The 18,012-nt window shown below is 39.2% G+C and overlaps 2 protein-coding genes and 1 long non-coding RNA gene across 9 annotated transcripts in view, besides 2 other annotated features; 2 read left to right on the top strand and 1 right to left on the bottom strand.

The window, feature by feature from the left end:
• The window catches only part of LOC124900979 (uncharacterized), a 35,003-nt gene extending 23,912 nt beyond the window's left edge, over positions 1-11,091 (top strand). Inside the window, exons 1-2 of one of the 2 annotated variants that reach the window (XR_007058775.1) lie at positions 404-10,693; positions 10,803-11,091. This is a non-coding gene — a long non-coding RNA (uncharacterized LOC124900979). Of the gene's footprint in view, positions 1-403; positions 10,694-10,802 lie in introns of those variants that run through there. The other variant, XR_007058774.1, reaches the window with a different exon arrangement.
• Positions 1-11,251, bottom strand: part of MTREX (Mtr4 exosome RNA helicase) — a 117,591-nt gene extending 106,340 nt beyond the window's left edge. Inside the window, exon 1 of the mRNA NM_015360.5 lies at positions 11,093-11,251. Coding sequence (NP_056175.3) covers positions 11,093-11,226 — 134 coding nt within the window. The 5' untranslated portion in view covers positions 11,227-11,251. The remainder of the gene's footprint in view (positions 1-11,092) is intronic.
• Positions 10,998-11,477: an enhancer, noted in NCBI's record as "active region_22554". NCBI's record gives its function as "activates an Ori minimal core promoter by ATAC-STARR-seq in GM12878 lymphoblastoid cells {active_cell/tissue: GM12878}" and the evidence as "EXISTENCE:reporter gene assay evidence [ECO:0000049][PMID:35858748]".
• Positions 11,546-18,012, top strand: part of DHX29 (DExH-box helicase 29) — a 51,640-nt gene continuing 45,173 nt past the window's right edge. For all 6 annotated transcript variants that reach the window (NR_144325.2, NR_144323.2, NR_144324.2 and 3 more), the window contains exon 1: positions 11,546-11,853. Coding sequence is in view for 2 of the 6 variants with exons in the window: in NM_001345964.2 (NP_001332893.1) it covers positions 11,667-11,853 (187 nt within the window). In the remaining 4 variants the exon portion in view is untranslated. The remainder of the gene's footprint in view (positions 11,854-18,012) is intronic.
• Positions 11,618-11,877: an enhancer, noted in NCBI's record as "active region_22553". NCBI's record gives its function as "activates an Ori minimal core promoter by ATAC-STARR-seq in GM12878 lymphoblastoid cells {active_cell/tissue: GM12878}" and the evidence as "EXISTENCE:reporter gene assay evidence [ECO:0000049][PMID:35858748]".

The raw sequence follows: 18,012 nt of genomic DNA, 5'->3' as shown, positions 1-18,012 counted from the left end.
ACTGTATCAATATATAATTTCCTAATTTTGATAACTATAAACTGTGGTTACATAAAAGAATGCTCTCATTTTCAGAAAATACAGACTAAGCAACTTAGAAATCTAGAGGTAAATGGGCAACATATCTGCAACTTACTCTAAACAGTTCAGAAAAAATTATGTATCCACAAACATACACATATACATATGCATTATGGGAAGAAAGAGGAAGGGAGGATAAAGTAAACGTGGTAAAGTGTTAAAATTTAGAATATTTGAGTGAAGATGTACAAGAATTTTGGTGCCATTCTTATATATTTTCTCTAAGTCTGAAATTATGTCAAATAAGAAGTTTTTTTAAGTACTCACACTACCTGAAATGACATTTAGTACTACTTGTAATAAAAGTTAAGCAGTGACTGTTGTGTACAACCATTGTATCTCGCCTAGAGAAGAACATGTGCCAAGCAGAAGTATTTGGTCTTTTTAAACTTTTATTTTAGGTTTGGGGTACATGTGAAGGTTTGCTACGCAGGTAAACACGTCATGGGGGTTTGTTGTACATATTATTTCATCATCTAGATATTAAGGCCAGTGCCCAACAGTTATCTTTTCTGCTCCTCTCCCTCCTTCCACCCTCCCTCCAAGTAGACCCCAGTGTCTGTTGTTTCCTTCTCTGTGTTCATAAGTTATCTTTTAGCTCCCATTTATAAGCGAGAACATGCGGTATTTGGTTTTCTGTTCCTGCATTAGTTTGCTAAGGATGATAGCCTCCAGCTCCATCCATGTTCCTGCAAAAGACATGATCTCATTCTTTTTCACGGCTGCATAATATTTCATGGTGTATACGTACCACATTTTCTTTATCCAATCTGTCATTGATGGGCATTTGGGTTGATTCCATGTCTTTGCTATTGTGAATAGTGCTGCAATGAACATCCACATGCATGTGTCTTTATGGTAGAATGCTTTATATTCCTGTGGGTATATACCCAGTAATGGGATTGCTGGGTCTAATGGTATATCTGTTTTTAGCTCTTTGATGAATTGCCATATTGCCTTCCACAACGGTTGAACTGATTTACACTCCCACCAACAGTTATAAGTGATCCCTTTTCTCTGCAACCTTGACAGCATCTGCTATTTTTTTAGTTTTTAGTAATAGCCATTCTGACTGGTGTTAGATGGTATCTCATTTGTGGTTTTGATTTGCAATTCTCTAATGATCAGTGATACTGAGCTTTTTTTATATGCTTTCTGGCCCCATGTATGTCTTCTTTTGAGAAATGTCTGTTCATGTCCTTTGTCCACCTTTTAATAAGGTTGTTTTTCTCCTGTAAATTTAAGTTCCTTATAAATGCTGCATATTAGACCTTTGTCAAATGCATAGTTTGCAAAAATTTTCTCCCATTCTGTGGGTTGTCTGTTTACTCTGTTGATAGTTTCTTTTGCTGTATGGAAGCTCTTAAGTTTAATTAGATCCCATTTGTCAATTTTTGCTTTTGTTGCAATGGCTTTCGGTGTCCTTGTCATCAAATCTTTGCCCATTCCTAGGTCCAGGATGATACTGCCTAGTTGTCTTTCAGGGATTTTGTAGTTTTGGGTTTTACATTTGTCTTTAATCCACCTTGAGTTGATTTTTCTACATGGTGTAAAGAAGGGGTCCACCTTCAATTTTCTGCATATGGCTAGCCAGTTATCCCAGCAGCATTTATTGAATAGCGAGTCTTTTCCCCACTGCTTCGTTTTGTTAGTTTTGTCAAAGATCAGATGGTTGTAGATGTGCGGCCTTATTTCTAGCTCTCTACTCTGTTCCATTGTTCAATGTGCCTGTTTTTGTACCAGTATCATGCTGTTTGGTTACTGTAGCCTTGTAGTATAGTTTGAAGTAGGGTAATGTGATGCCTCTCCAGCTTTGTTCTTTTTGCTTAGGACTGCCTTGGCTATTTTTGGTTCCATATAAATTTTAAAGTAGTTTTTTCTAGTTCTGTGAAGAATGTCATTGGTAGTTTGATAGGAATAGCATTGAATCTGTACATTGCTTTGGGCACTATAGCCATTTTGATGATACTGATTCTTCCTATTCATGAGCATGGGGTGTTTTTCCATTTGTTTGTGTCTTCTCTGATTTCTTTGAACAGTATTTTGTAATTCTCATTGCATATATCTTTCACCTCCCTGGTTAGCTGTATTTCTAGGGTGTGTGTGTGTGGGAGGGGGGAGGTGTGTGGCAATTGTGAATGAGATTGCTTCTCTTATCTGGCTCTCAGTCTGGCTACTGTTGGTGTATAAGAATGCTAGCCTTTTTTGTACACTAATTTTTGTATCCAGCAGCTTTGCTGAAGTTGTTTGTCAGCTGGAGTGTTTGGGCCCAGACTATGGGGTTTCCTACATATAGAATTATGTTGTCTGCAAACAGTTTGACTTCCTCTCTTCCTATTTGGATGCCCTTTCTTTCTTTCTTTTGCCTAACTGCTCTGGCTAGGACTTCCAATACTATGTTGAATAGAAGTGGTGAGAGAGGGCAGCCTTGCCTTGTGCCAGTTTTCAAGGGGAATGCTTCCAGCTTTCACTTTTTCAGTATAATGTTGGTTGTGGGTTTGTCATAGATGGCTCTATTATATTGAGGTGTGTTCCTTCAATACCTAGGTTACTGAGAGTTTTTAACATGGAGGGGTGTTGAATTTTATCGAAGGCCTTTTCTGCATGTATTGAAATAATCATGTGGTTTTTTGTCTTTAGTTCTGTTCATGTGATGACTCACATTTGTTGATATTTGCATGTTGAACCAACCTTGCATCCTGGGGATGAAGCCTACTTGGTCATGGTGGATTAGCTTTTTGATGTGCTGCTGGATTTGGTTTGCAAGTATTCTGCTGAGGATTTTTGCATTGATGTTCATCAAGGATAGTGGCCTGAAGTTTTTTGTCGTTGTGTCTCTGCCCATTTTTGATATCAAGATGATGCTGGCCTCACATAATAAGTTGGGGAGGAGTCTTTCCTCCTCAATTTTTATGAATAATATCTGTAGGAATGCTACCAACATTTCTTTGTATATCTGGTAGAATTCTGCTGTGAATCCATCAGGTCCTGGGCTTTTTTTGGTGGGTAGGCTATTTATTACTGATTTAATTTTGGAGCTTGCTACTGGTCTGTTTAGGGAATCAATTTCTTCCTGGCTCAGTCTTGGGAGGGTGTATGTGTCCAAGAATTTATCCACCTCTTGTAGGTTTTCTAGTTTGTGTGTGTAGAGGTGTTCATAATAGTTTCTGATGGTTGTTTTTATTTCTGTGGAGTCAGTAGTAACATTTCCGTTGTAACTTCTAACTGTGTTTATTTGATTTCTGCCGGGGTATAAAACAATGATGTGAGCGTTCCACAGGTTTTTTTTTTTTTTTTTCAAGTTGGGTCCCAGCTGTATCATCCAGGGTGGCCCCAGCCTCCCTACTAGCTGGGACTACAGGCATGAGCCACTGCCCCCAGCTCCACAGTCTTATACTTCACTGTACAATTATACATAAGTATAAATACAGACTATTTTTAAAATGCTAGTGTAGAACAACCACCTTCTTAGTTGATGGAGATTTGTATGAAGTACACATATACTCAGAAATAGTTCTATTCTGAGAGCTACAAAGAAGTTAACCTGATAGTAATCTCCAGTGGATTAACTATTGCTCTATGCCGCAATGGAATATGGGTTTTTGTTGTTGTTGTTGTCTGTCTCGAAAAATATATATAATAATAATAACTACAAATATTTGTCAAAATGATTTTAGACTATCTGGGCAATCTGTTTAACACAATGAAAATCACTGGTTTAAAACGGATCAGATGCACATGTAACAAATAAAACCATACAAGGATTTGAAGAAAACATGACAAAAAATCCAAGAGCAACAAGAACGACAAACGTGACTTTATTAAAATTTTTCTGAATGACAAAACATTGGGGAAAATATTTGCAATTTATGTTAGAGAAATAATATCCCTAGTCTATAAAGAGGTCCAAAAATTAAGAAGGACCAACTATCAATTTTTTTAAAGATGAAAAGAAATATAAATTAACACGAATTGAAATACAATTTCTCATCTATCTCACTGACAAAAATCCAAGTTCAATACACTGTGAAAAAGGCCATAAAGTACTCTCACACATTACTGTTTGTATCAACTTTCTATTGCTGCTGTAACAGATTACCACAAACCCAGTGGCTTAAAATGGGCCCCCAACCCCTGGGCAGTTCATGGCCTGTTAGGAAACCAGGCTGCATAGCAGGAAGTGAGCAGCGAGTGAGTGAACATTATCACCTGAGCTCTGCCTCCAGTCAGATCAGCAGCAGCATTAGATTCTCATGGGAGCACAAACCCTATTGTGAATTGTACATGTGAAGAATTTAGGTTGTGCACTCCTTATGAGAATCTAATGCCTAAGGATCTAAGGTGGAAGAGTTTCATCCCAAAACCATCCCCCTACTGCTGGTCTGTGGAAAAACTGTCTTCCATGAAACCAGCCCCTGGTGCTAAAAAGGTTGGCGATGGTTGGCTTAAAATAGGACAAATTTACTGTTTTATAGTTCAGAAAGAAAGAAGTGCAATATAGGTCTTACAAGACCAAAACTAGGGTGCTGTGTTGGCAGGGCTGTGTTCCTACCTGAAGGCTCTGGGGGAAAATCCATTTCCTTGCCACTTCCACTTCTAGAGATCACCCACATTTTCCGGCTTATGACCCTGTTCCTCCACCTTTAAAGTCAGCCAGAGCCCTTCTAATGTTGCTGTCTTTCTGGTTCTCTCCCTTCAGCTTCCTTCTTTCACTTTTATAAACCCTTGTTATTACTTCGGTCCCAACTGGATGATCCAGAATTCTCTCTCCACCTCAAGGTCAACTGATTAGCAGCATGAACTCCATCTGCAACTTTCTCCTTTGCCAAGTAACCTAACAATTTCAAACGTTCTAGGGATTGGGACATGAACATCACTGGGGGACTGTCATTGCTACCACACTGTTGAAAACACAAAATGGTACATCTCCTGTGGAGAGGAATTTGGCTACATCTAGCAAAAATGCCTACTTAGTTACTCTTTGACCTAGTAATTCGCTTCTAGGAATCTATTCCAAAGATAAAATGGCAAACAACAACAACAAGAAACAGACTTCTACAAAACAGACATTGTTGCATCATTTGTAACAGCAAAAGACTGAAAATAGTACCATGTTCATTCAGAGAACATTGATTGAAGGACTGCAACTATGCAGTTGTTAAAAAAAAAAAACAGCTCTCTACATATTGATATACGATGATCTCTTGGTCAAAATATCAAGTAAAAAAAGATGAACAGTTTTTAATGCTACCTTTTGCACAAGAAGTGAGAAATGGAGACATCTGATAGACACATGTACGCACAATTTGATATTTTCAAAAAGAAAAGAGACAAAGCAAAAACTAAAGGGGAGGGAGGAAATGGAAGAAGGGGCAAGGATGGAAGCAAGAATGTACTGTTTTAAACTTTTGATTTTGGAACTACAAAATCTTTTACATAATTTCTTAAAAATTAAATTTTTAGCAATTCTTAAAAACTGTAAATACACTGAAACAAATGAACACAATAAATATCAAATTAGTGGCATAAACATTTAGAGAAAAGAACTACTACAGAGTATTTTCACTGTTACCACAATATATTGAGGGCAAAAAGAACCACAATTGCATTCAATATCTTATTAATTGCAAAATTATTTTTAAACTATTGTAAGTATATATAAGAAAAAGTTTAATTATGTAATTGTCAGCAGGAATGAGGATTTTCTTTTCTTTTTTTTGAGACATGTCTCTTTCTGTTACCTAGGCTAGAGTGCAGTGTCATGATCACAGCTCCCTGCAGCCTCAACCTCCCAGAGCTAAAGCAATCCTCCAACCTCAGCCTCCTGACTAGGAGGGACTACAGGTGCATGCCACAAGACCCAGCTAATTTTTTTTTTTTTTTTTGTAGAGACAGGGTTTCACCACGTTGCCCAAGCTGGTCCCGAACTCCTGGGCTCAGGCAATCCACCTGCCTCAGCCTCCGAAAGTGCTGGGATTACAGAAATGAGCCATGTGCCTGGCCTAGGAATGAGGATTTTCAACAAAACCGAGAAATGATACATTTATAAAAATCCAAAAAGTTAAATAAAAACCCTGTGATGTTAATTGTACTGGAAATGTCAGTATGAATTCTATTTTTTATAAAAACAAAGATTCCCTAGTTCTTTGTACTGTAAAAACCTAAAAGCAATGAAATCCAGTAGCATTGTGCACCCTAAGCACAAAATAACATTTCTCACTATAAGAAATTAGAGACTCCTTAGAGATGTGGCTGATTCCAAGTTTAGCACTGAAAGTGTATAGTGAGTCCAGAAAATCCAAAAAACACATAAGCTATCAAAGACTTATGATGTCTTGTCAAAAAGACACAACAGCCAACCTCAAGAGCACTCACTGTTCAAAAGATTGGAAATCCAAGTTTCAGAAAACGTAACAGAAACAACTCAAATGTCCAGTAACAGATGGAGGTATAAACAAATATGGTATATGCATAAAACAGAATACTATTCAGCCAGAAAAACAAACTATTGATATACACCACATGACTGAATCTCAGAAGCACTATGTTGAGTAAAAGAAGCCATGTAAAAGGAATACATAATGTATTTAAATAAAATTTTAGAAAATATAAGTTCTAGATAGGTGGCGACAGGGATGTATTAAAAAGGGGCACAAAAAAACTCCTGAGGGTGATGGAAATGTTTATCTTGATTGTGGTGGTTTACTGCACTTCAGTTATACCCCAATAAGATTAAAAAAAAAAAGAAGAAGAAATAAGTGCAAAGGAGTAAATATATAAAAATCCACTCATTTACCCAGAAACGAAACATAATCATACACCCATGTTGGTCACCATTGAAACTTCCTTAGGGCACAACTCATTTCCTTAAAAATTGTTAAAGGATCAAGCATTTATCCTGCCTTTTCTTTATGAACTGTATTTCAAGGTAAACAAACAGCTGATGAGACAATGCCTTTTTTAATAGGTGGATTCCAGGTAATAAATGCAGAGAGAAATGATAAAAACAGAAAATCGCCACTGTGCAAGTACTAGTGAAGTAATGGACCTGGGCAATTATCACTAGGTGCTAAAGCCGTCATGTGAAAGGTTGATGAGGAATCAGGGTGATACTATTTTCGCCAACTTGTCAATCTTAGAACAGTAGAATATTCAGACATTATGATGTAATGAAATAGGAAGTAAACTGAACCTGAATCTAATCAAGCCACTAGATCAGAGCAGTCCAGTATATATACATACATATACAAGCTACAAGCTGCATATGTAATTTAAAATTTTCTAATAACCACATTTAAAAAGGTAAAAAGAAACTGTTGAAATAAATTTTAATATCTTTCATTGAACCCAATATATGCAAAATACTATCATTTCAATTATAACCAAATTAAAATTAAGGAGATATTTTACAATTTTCATATTAACGTTTCCAATTCTGGTGTGAATTTTACACTCACCGAACATCTCAATTCTGACAAGTCATATTTTAAGTGCTCAACAGCTACGTGAGGATAGTGGCTATTATGTCACAAAATGCAGCTCTAGGGATGAGGACAGTTTACAGAAGATACTTGAGGATACAGGAGCAAGTTAAATGGCAGTTTAAGAAAGCAAATCCAGGATGTGGGAAACTCCACAGAATAGATGACCTGGTTTCTCCCTTCACTCATCCCTCCAAAATAGAAATCAATGGCAGAAAGAAAAAAGAGGGAGGCTGTTGTAGCATAAAATACTTAAGGGACATAACAATAAAAACAGTGTAGGGTTTTGTTTGAATCCTGATTCAACTACCAATGATCAAAAAACATCCGAGACAACTGGGGACATCTCACTGCAGATTCAGTATTTAACGATATTAAGGAATTATTGTTAGTTTTGTTGGATGACATAAATACTGAAATATTTAGGGAGAAAAAACAACTTGCATTTGATTAAAAAAAAAAGATGTAGGAATAGACTGATCATGACTTGATATTGGTGAAGCTGAGTTATGAGTACATGAAGCTCTTCATACTGTTTTATATATAAAATACATAGTTTGACAATTCTCATAAAGTTTTTTTAAAAAGTACTCACTGGCTGTGCACAGTGGCTCACATCTGGAATCCCAACACTTTCAGAGGCCAAGGTGGGAGGACTGCTTGAGGCCAGGAGTTTGAAACCAGCCTGGGCAACATACTATGAGACACCCGTCTCTACAAAACATTTTTAAAATTAGCCCGATATGGTGGTGTGTACCTGTACTTCTAGCTATTCAGGAGGCTGAGGTGGGAGGAATGCTTGAGGCCAGGAGTTCGAGGTTACCATAAGCTGCTAAGCACCAGTGCACTCCAGCCTGGGTGAGAAAATGAGACCCCATCTCTAAAAGGTAAAGAAACTATTTTTTTAAAAAGCATCCACTTGATCTAGAATACTAAATAAAGGGCAAGTTCCTCTGAAGTTCCATGATTTGCCCTCCTATGTTACACAGATCAGATGAGAATCACACTATGCATAATGTTAGTATGGCCACTGCAATCAGGCAAATAGGATTTTTTCTCTTTTTTTTTTTGAGATGGAGTCAAGCTCTGTCGCCCAGGCTGGAGTGCAGTGGCACAGTCTCGGCTCACTGCAACCTCCACCTCCCAGGTTCAAGCCATTCTCTTGTCTCAGCCTCCCAACTAGCTGGGATTACAGGCGCCTGCCACCAGGCATGGCTAAATTTTGTATTTTTAGTAGAGATGGGGTTTCGCCATGTTGGTGAAGCTGGTCTCGAACTCTTGACCTCAGGTGATCTGCCAGCCTCCGCCTCCCAAAGTGGGATTAGAGGCGTGAGCCACCACGCCCGGCCAGGATTTTTTTCTTAAAAATATCTAGAAGACCTTGCTAGAAGTGTTGGTAGTAAACAAAACCCTTTAAGCTACTAACGTTCTCCTGTGTTTTCTTATTTCCTTTCTCTAATATTCATTTCCTAATATAATGAAATGTAAATTAGATTTTTATTTCCTCTTTTCACTTTGGAAGGCTGTCAAACAGCTTACCCCAACTAACCTGCAAATAAAACTCATTTTATCCTAGCAAATTTGAGGTAAAGTATATACTAACATGGTAAATTATACATGTATTGTCTTCATAATATCATAGTTGCCCATTCAAACACTCTAGCAACTATTACTTCCTGTCTTGAAAGAAATAAAAATAATTGGTCCTCCTTTCTTATTTTCTCTGAAAAGCTTCCCCAAACTCTCCCAATCCAACTTAATGCGAGTAGACTATTTTTCCACTTTGTTCCACTCATTTCGCACTCCTGATAGAATTTTCTCTTATCCCTCTAATCTCTTATTTAGGCTTATGTACCCTCTCCAGAAGTTCTGTGTTGTGTCACTTACTTCCCCACAGAGATCTCTATCTCAAGGAGACCAATTCAAATGATATTCAAATATATACCTCCAGTCCTGGTCTCTCTCCAAAACCCTATTAAAACTACCCAGTGGACATTTTCCTACAGACATACTAGCATCCCTTCACATTGTCTCAAGCCAAATTAATGTTATCACTATATCAAAACCTCTGAACGTCCCTGTTTTTTTCACCCTGACATGCAAATTAAACATCTCTTTTGACTTCCTTTCCCTTGTTTTCCTTAATTAATGAAGGCCTGTCCATTTTTTCCTTAACATGTTCGTACCTTTCCATTCCTCTGCCACTGCCTGAGTTGAGGTTCTTTTCATCTTTACAACCAGATAACTAACATAATTTCCTAATTTACTTTCTCACTGTCTATCTTCTTTCCCTATACTATTATAGTACTCTGCCAACCACTGCCAAATTAATTTTCCTAAACTATCATTCTACTTATCCAATCACCTTGTTCAACAGGGTTTTAAAAATGAAATCAAAACTCCTCTGCTTGATATTCAAGGCCCCTCATGTTCTCAAATCAATGTATATTCCCAGTCTTATCTCTTGTAGTCCCTAAATGAAACAGTTCCTCTTGCTCAATTTATGCTCCTAAAAACAAACAAACTTGGCACCATTAACAACACAATTTCCTTAACTCAGAATATTCTCTTGTATATAAATAAGCCTTCCTGAAAGTCAGAAATAGGATCTCCCTTTCTTGAACTTTTATAACACTTAATTGTATATATCATTCATTTTAAGTTAACGACCTCCTCACCTATACTGTAACTCTTTAATGGGTACCTGTTCTCTTTCCCTACACCGAAAATTCCTTGAGAGCAAAATCATGTCTAATTTAATTTCAAGCATCTATTGGGTATCTGGCCCCACAATGCCAAGAGTATATTTTGTTGATTGTTAATTAATCATCTTACTTTATTTAATACAAGTAATAGCTTTTCCTTGTTCTACTATAAACAGATCTGTACACTTTCTGGTGGCTGTATGCACCAGTCTAAACATATGGGTAGGGTCCAGTAATTTTTAAATTTTTTCTCAATAAACTCACGATAGCTACCATTTATTAGTGATAGCTAGCTAACCACTGTTAGGCACTTTACACGTGTATCTCATTGAATCCTCATATCCACCAGTGGTAGGCACTATTATCTCCATTTTACGGAAGAGAAAACTACTACATCTTGGAGATTAAATGTCTCTCCCTTCTCATGTTATTATCTGCCCTTTCCCCTCCAAATCAATTCATATCATTTTTTCTAAACCTTTTCACCTTTTACTCAACTAATCATTCGTTTTGTTTATTAACGACTATGTGCCAGGTGTTGTGCTGATGCAGGAGACAACCGCGAAGATGGGGACAGAATCAGTAACATCGACGTAAGGGAATTGAAGCAGAAGATCACGCTGCCTGCAGACACCAGGAAACGCCAAGACCCCCCTTCCACGAACCAACATTCTTCCACCCTCTCCAACTTTTTTCTGGAACCCCTTCACTTCCAACGCCACTCAATGTACACTTCACTTTCTCGTGCTCTTCCTAAGAGAGTAGTGTTTTCTTCCTCCCCACCGAGAAAAAAAATAAAAGCAACAACTGGAACTTCTTCCTTACCCTGCCTTGTCTGCAGACCCTGGAGGCCCCTTCCATTTCCCCTTGTCCTTTTCCTTGTCTTTTTTGGTTCCCGCCGCAGTGGTCGAGTCGCCCTCGAACACGCTGAACAGCTCATCTCCGAATGCGTCCGCCATTTTTGGGAGCAGTGAGAGCAAATCTCCCTCCTACCCACGATGCCCCGCGACCGAAGACAGTGACGTCTCGTGAAGGCTCAACAGTGGCCCGCAGGAGACAAAAGTAGTCGAGTCGCGCAGCCGACAAAAATGTTCCCCTGACTTTTTTTTTTTTTCCTGCTTTTCTTTCCTTTCCTTTCCGACCTAAAGTGGATAAGCTGCTCAGTGGATAAAGAGCGAGGGCGGCGCGTGGCGCCTGGCGTGTGGCAGGCAGCTGGCGACTCAAGGAGGCGGAGCCTGCTGAATTCGACCAATTGCGAGGCAGCGGTCGCCCCGGCCCGAGAAGCCCGGATCGAAGCGCAGGGTGGCAGCCCCGGAGCCGGGGAATGTGAAGAGCTCTCGGCTGTGCAGTGGTACCGTCGGGGCCTGGGCCGCGAAGGATCTTCTGCCACAGCTGCAACATGGGCGGCAAGAACAAGAAACACAAGGCTCCAGCGGCCGCGGTGGTCCGGGCCGCCGTGTCTGCTTCCAGAGCCAAATCTGCCGAGGCTGGAATTGCCGGGGAGGCCCAAAGCAAGAAGCCAGTGTCCAGGCCGGCCACCGCTGCCGCTGCCGCTGCCGGCTCCAGGGAGCCCCGTGTCAAGCAAGGTACGAGAGGTCCCCCAGCCCCTGGCTGTCTGCCCTGAGACCTTGCTGCTTGTCCTGAGGAAAGGGCCTTAGAACCCGGGAGGAGCTTCGGGCCCAACATTTCTATTTCCCAACACTCGAGCTGCTACCTCCCCATGGGGTGGCCTTGTTTTAGATTAAAAAAGTCTAAGCTCTTTGGGCCTCCAAAATTCTGACAGTAGCCCTGTTGCAGCCTGGCATTTCTCTTTTAACTCACACTTCTCCCCCTTCTAAAAACAAAATAATTGCATTAGCTCCTGTTTCAGCAGGAATTCATCCTGAGCACCATCTCAGCTAGCTAGGCTAACGCAAAGACGAGTACTGAGTGGAGTTCCTGACCTCCTGGTGCCAGCCAGCCCCATTTTCTGTCAGTTTTTCATATCATTTTCAGCAACAATCTAGTGTCTCCATGCGTTCTGGAAAAATCAATACTTAATAAAAATTACAGGACTTACACACTGGTTACACACTGGTTACGTGTAATCTATTGTAAAATTGTCTGCCCTCGTTTCTGCCGCCATGCAGTTTTGCTTACTGTACAAATTGATTTGACAACTCAACTTATAGATGGCCGATTCCTGCTGCAGATGAGCAGGCCACATATTACGGTTGAGCTCAAAAGATGAACAATTACATTCTGTTGTGTTCTTCTCGGGTTGTTTGCTTGTACTTATTGGAGTATTCAAGAAATATTTGCTGAGCATTTATGTGTATATATGCAAATATTTAGTATGTGTCTGATAAGATGTGAGGAATGTGATGAGCAAAAAGAGACATCACCTCATGGAGCTTGCCAGTCTAATGTCAGAGATAGGTATTAACTAATAGGTAACGCACACAGACATATTTATAGCCTTATAATAGATAAGTGCCACAAAGAAAAGCCAGGGAAGACAGTTTAACAGGGTAATCTAATTTTTCTCGGGATGAGCAGGTATCATGGATGGTGTCTGGAAATGTAACAGTTAAGCTGAGATGAGGAGAATGAAAAAGGAGTTAACTCTGTGAAGCATGGCAGAAATTAGTATTCCAGGCGGGCGTAATGAACATCATGTGTAAAAAGTTTGAGTCAGGAAAGAGCTTGGGGCTCTTGAGGAATTCACAGAACATAAAGCATCGCCAAAGGATGAAATGAGATGAGACTGAAAAAGTAGGCAGGTACCAGACCTTTACCTAGAAGGTGGAAACAGTTCTTTGCCCTGCGATTTATTGTAGTGTTAGCTACAGAGTTAGCATACTTGTAATTACAAATACATAGAATTTCTCCCTGACAACTATGGCAGTTTTATTCTGTGGATCAGCCTCTTTTTTACTTTTCCTTTGTCTTTTACTGACATTCCTCTGAATTTGAACCGATAGTCATTTGTTGTATTCTTTGAATTCCCTTTCCTCCAGCCCCAAACTGTGACCCTTTCTCAAGGTGTCAATCCTTGACAGTATAGTTCACTCCTAAAGCCCTTCTAGGAGTGTTCATCTATTTCCATTACTTCTATCTTTTCCTTTGTAGATGGCCTCTCTTCCAAGCTCAAGTTGGCAATTTATACATTTTGCTGGATTCTCTGACCCTATTTTTTGCAAGCATCTCAAATTTAACAGGGCTAGTACTAAACCACTCTTCTTTCCCCAAACTAACTTTTTCTTCGACTTCCTTGTTTCTGTTTTTCCATATTTCACTTTGCATTTGTGTAGTTCACATCCTAGTCTTGGTACCTGTGAATTCCTGGAGTAGCAACGAAGTCTTTTAATAGGGCTCCACAGCTGTGCTCATTTTGCTTCCTCCAGTTGGTCTTGCATATCAACATCAGACTGATCTTCCAGAAATGCTGCTTTGGTCGTAACACTTCCTATTTTCTTCCATGGCATCCTCACTGACTTTGCAATAAAATCCAAATCATTTAGCTAGCTTCTAAAACCCTCTTTCTAACCTTTTAATAATTCCTCTATTCAACTATAGCAAGTCTGGTGTGTTTTCATTTCTCCAAATGGAGCTCTTAGCTTTCTCCTTCCTCGTATTTATTCTTGCCATGTTTTTCTTCATGGAGTGCAATCTGTCCCTAACATCATCTACCAAAACCTTAAAATACCCATTTCAGATAACAACTTCCTTTTGAATTCTTCCTGCTATTCACAACTGACGTATCATAGTTGTTTAAATCATTCTTTTTGATAGTTAGTTCTTGCCTTATGATATGTAAAGAATTATATGTTTTATATATCCAACAAAATTACAGGAGGTAGGAACAGTTTTATGGATATGTGTTAACATTTCCCCAGTATCTACTCTAGTGCTGTGCATATTGTCATGAAGAAAATTACTTGGATAACTGGTAAGGAAAGTTCAAAGGAATTATTAAGACCAAGAAATCAAGAGAAAAAAACTAGAGGTTATCTACTAAATTTGCACATAACTTTTGGGTTTATTTTAGGGTGCTTTTAATATATAGTATAACGTACAATAAACCTATTTTGGAGAAAAAAGTGGAAAAATGCTCAACTCTGTGTAGTTCCTAATGTAGATGTAATGGTTCTACTCTACTTCCGTCCCTCCTTATCTTTCCAATTTGACGGCACAGCTGGTCAAAATTGTCCTCTATCGTAGAGGTTCAGAATCACCAAATGGCTTGCACAACAAGTAATACCAGTCTTGTTTTTTTTTTAATTTCATTTGCTCATGAAAGAATTTCTGAAGAGGCCGAATAGGGAGGAGGGTGGGGAGAGGTTCAGTATTAAATAGGATGGTCAGGGAAGGAAGGCATCATATAAGAAGGTGGCTAGGCGCAGTGGCTCACGCTTGTAATCCCAGCACTTTGGGAGGCCGAGGCAGGCGGATCACGAGGTCAGGAGATTGAGACCACGGTGAAACCCCGTCTCTACTAAAAATATAAAAAATTAGCTGGGCATAGTGGCGAGCGCCTGTAGTCCCAGCTACTCGGAGAGGCTGAGGCAGGAGAATGGCGTGAACCCGGGAGGCGGAGCTTGCAGTGAGCTGAGATTGTGCCACTGCACTCCAGCCTGGGTGACAGCAAGACTCGGTCTCAAAAAAAAAAAAAAAAAAAAAAGTGACATTTGAGCAAGCAAAGGAGGCAGGTAAAGTAGTTACACAGATGACTGGGTAAAGAGTCTCCTGGGGAGAGGGAACAGAAAGGCCTTGAGATGCAAGCCTGGAGTGTTCTAGAAATAGCAAGACCTTTCCCCATCTTTCTTTTACTGTCCTTCTCTTTGCCTTTCTTTTCTTTTCTTTCTTCTTTCCATTCCTGTGCTTTAGAAGTGCCACTTCCTTAGCCTAAGTATAATTAAGCTGCTTTATCATGTTATGACTGAGACCAAAATAAGAGGTTCAGTAATTTAAGTTTTCTCTTCCAACCAAGAGGCTTGTGTTTCTGAAAATCCTTGAACCTAGTTGAGGCTTAAAATTTTAAGAGGGGAATAAGAATTGGGAATGGATGTCATAAATTTATGAAAGCCATTATAAATTTTTTTTTAGGGTCACTAAAATAGAAAAAGTGCTATGAGGAACAGAAAATAGTGACTTGGTAAACATTAAATGGAGAATGGAGGGTCTATTTTGGTTTGAAATAGGAATAGCTTCCCTTAGAAAACATTTAAACTGAGATGATCTGCAGAGTATTTGTGGCAGAGGGAAAAACAAGCCTAAAAACCCTAAGGTGGAAACAAGTTTGACATGTTGTAAGAAGATAGTGCTGTGTGGCTGGAGCGAAGAAAGAAAAAGTTAAAATGTGGCTGGAAGTCTGGGAAGGAGCCAGAGCAAGTTCAATGGGAAGTGGGGGCCGGTGTTGGTATTAAGTAGAGGAGAAACTTTAGCTGGTTTACATTTCAAAATAATTAGTCAGGCGGCCCTGGCAGTGTGTACTTCCTCACAGGCCTTAATTGCTCAGACTACATCAATTCACCCTCATCTATTTTCTTGGCACTCTGCACTTCCCCTTTATTACTCATCTGAGTATTAGTTGCTTACTAATTATATTACTGTTCCAGAATATAAGCTCCATGAGGACAGGCACTGGGTCTGTTTACCACCAGAGTCCCTGTTTGGGTCCCTTGCCTGATTAACCATTCTGCAGATGTACACACTGTCGATCAGAAGGGAATCAGAGTGCTAACAACTCAAAGTCAATGTCTTAGTCATAGTGGGTCATTAGCATTGCTTTTTCCTTTAAAATACAGTATAAAAAGAATATGTAGCAAAAGAAAAGATTATTGGGCAATAAGAAACTGATTCTGGTTGATTTTTTTTTTTTAATTAGCTGAGTCATTTTGAGGAAATCAGTTTGTCTGTGCTTCAACTTTAATGTAATAAATATTTTTGAGAGCCAGCTATATATGTTGCATCGTTCCATGACCTTTCATTTATAAATTTGGAATTCATAATACTTTGCCTTGGAGATATTGCATACTAACATCCTTACTTCCAGTCAGATTTCCAGTAACTTCCACCATCTTAAACACAAAACCAAAAATTGTAAAAGTCTCCAGGCAATAAGGAAAGTAGCTGTCATAAATCTTATGCACTTTACTTGGCAAAAGTGAACGTGGCCCAGTGAATGTTGAGCAGGATTCCTTGATTTCTCTGATCATTTTTCAGAAACTCAGCTCTTTTGTTTACCCTCTGGAAGTTTGCAGTATAAGCCAACTTCAAGGAAGTGATACAGTTGAAACTCTTAGGTGAAATGTTTGGAGGAGACAAATGAGAATTTTACTTTAATCTTTTCAACTGGGTAAATTAAAAACCAACCAGTTTTTTTTTTTTTTTTTTTTGATAGGGTCACTCTGTCGCCCAGTGGCTCACTACAATCTCTGCCTCCCAGGCTCAAGCAATCCTCCCATCTCAGCCTCCCAAGTAGCTGGGATTACAGGCACAAGCCACCACACCTAGCTAATATTTTGTATTTTTTGTAGAGATGGGGTTTCACCATGTTGCCCCGGCTGGCATTTTTAAAGGAATTTACAGTCTTACTCTTGTCAGTAGCATATGAACTTTGAACTGTTTCTCCATGTAGTCTTGGTAATGTACTGCTCATCTATCTGTAACTTTTTAAAAGGGTTATAGCTGGGGCCTCTTGATGTGTTTGGGGACCTCTAAAACTGCATGCTAAATTTGTGCACAAGCTTACTATAATTGATAAGACTCCCCAGAAATAGTTAAAGACTACTAAATATATACTCTCCTTTATGACCATTGACATGAATTTATAGGAGAGATTACTAGAATTAAGGTAAAGTTTGAGACTAGACGATAAGGAAACTAACAATACTATACCAGACTTGTTATTATCTTTTTACATATGCCATGTAGCTTTGGGTACCTCCGATATAACTATAGCATAGCAGTAATTGACAGAGAACCACAAATGTTTCTCTTTCAGACTGCCCAGATGTACAAGTTAATTTCAAGTAGTTATTCTCAAAAACTTTTGTTCTTTTAAAATATCTAATTATATTAGCTACCATCTTAAAATGAAGAACCTAATGTAACCCAGCAGAGAGCAAAGTCTTTGACTTTAAAATCATAAGAACATTTAATGTTTAAATGTCTCAAAGTAGAAAAAATACTTCTTATTTTAAGGTGTATAAAAACCATGCAACTAGATTTATGATTCTGGAATCATTCTTGTTTTTTTTTTTTTTTTTTTTTTTGAGATGGAGTTTCACTCTTGTTGCCCAGGCTGGAGTGCAATGGCGAAATCTCGGCTCACTGCAACCTCCGCCTTCTGAGTTCAAGCGATTCTCCTGCCTCAGCCTCCCGAGTAGCTGGGATTACAGGCATGCACCACCACGCCTGGCTAATTTTGTATTTTTAGTAGAGATGGGGTTTCTCCATGTTGGTCAGGCTGGTCTTGAACTCCTGACCTCAGGTGATCCACCTGCCTTGGCCTCCCAAAGTGTTGGGATTACAGGCGTGAGCCACCACGCCTGGCCTGGGATCATTCTTATACAGCAGTGTTTCTCAAAGTGTGCTCAGGAGGTCCTAAGGAACCTGAGACTTGTTTGCCAAGGGCTCCATGAAGTGAAAACTTTTCATAATAATTCTGAGATGTTTTTGCCATTTTTCACGCTCATTTTCTCATGATTATGCAGTGAGGTTGTCCAGTTGGCTACATGATGTGTAATGTTACGGCAGAT

The sequence above is a fragment of the Homo sapiens genome, chromosome 5, assembly GCF_000001405.40.
Source record: "Homo sapiens chromosome 5, GRCh38.p14 Primary Assembly".
NCBI classification, from domain to species: Eukaryota; Metazoa; Chordata; class Mammalia; order Primates; family Hominidae; genus Homo; species Homo sapiens.
Note: the sequence above shows the minus strand (reverse complement) of the source record. Positions and strands in the feature narration are given on the sequence as shown.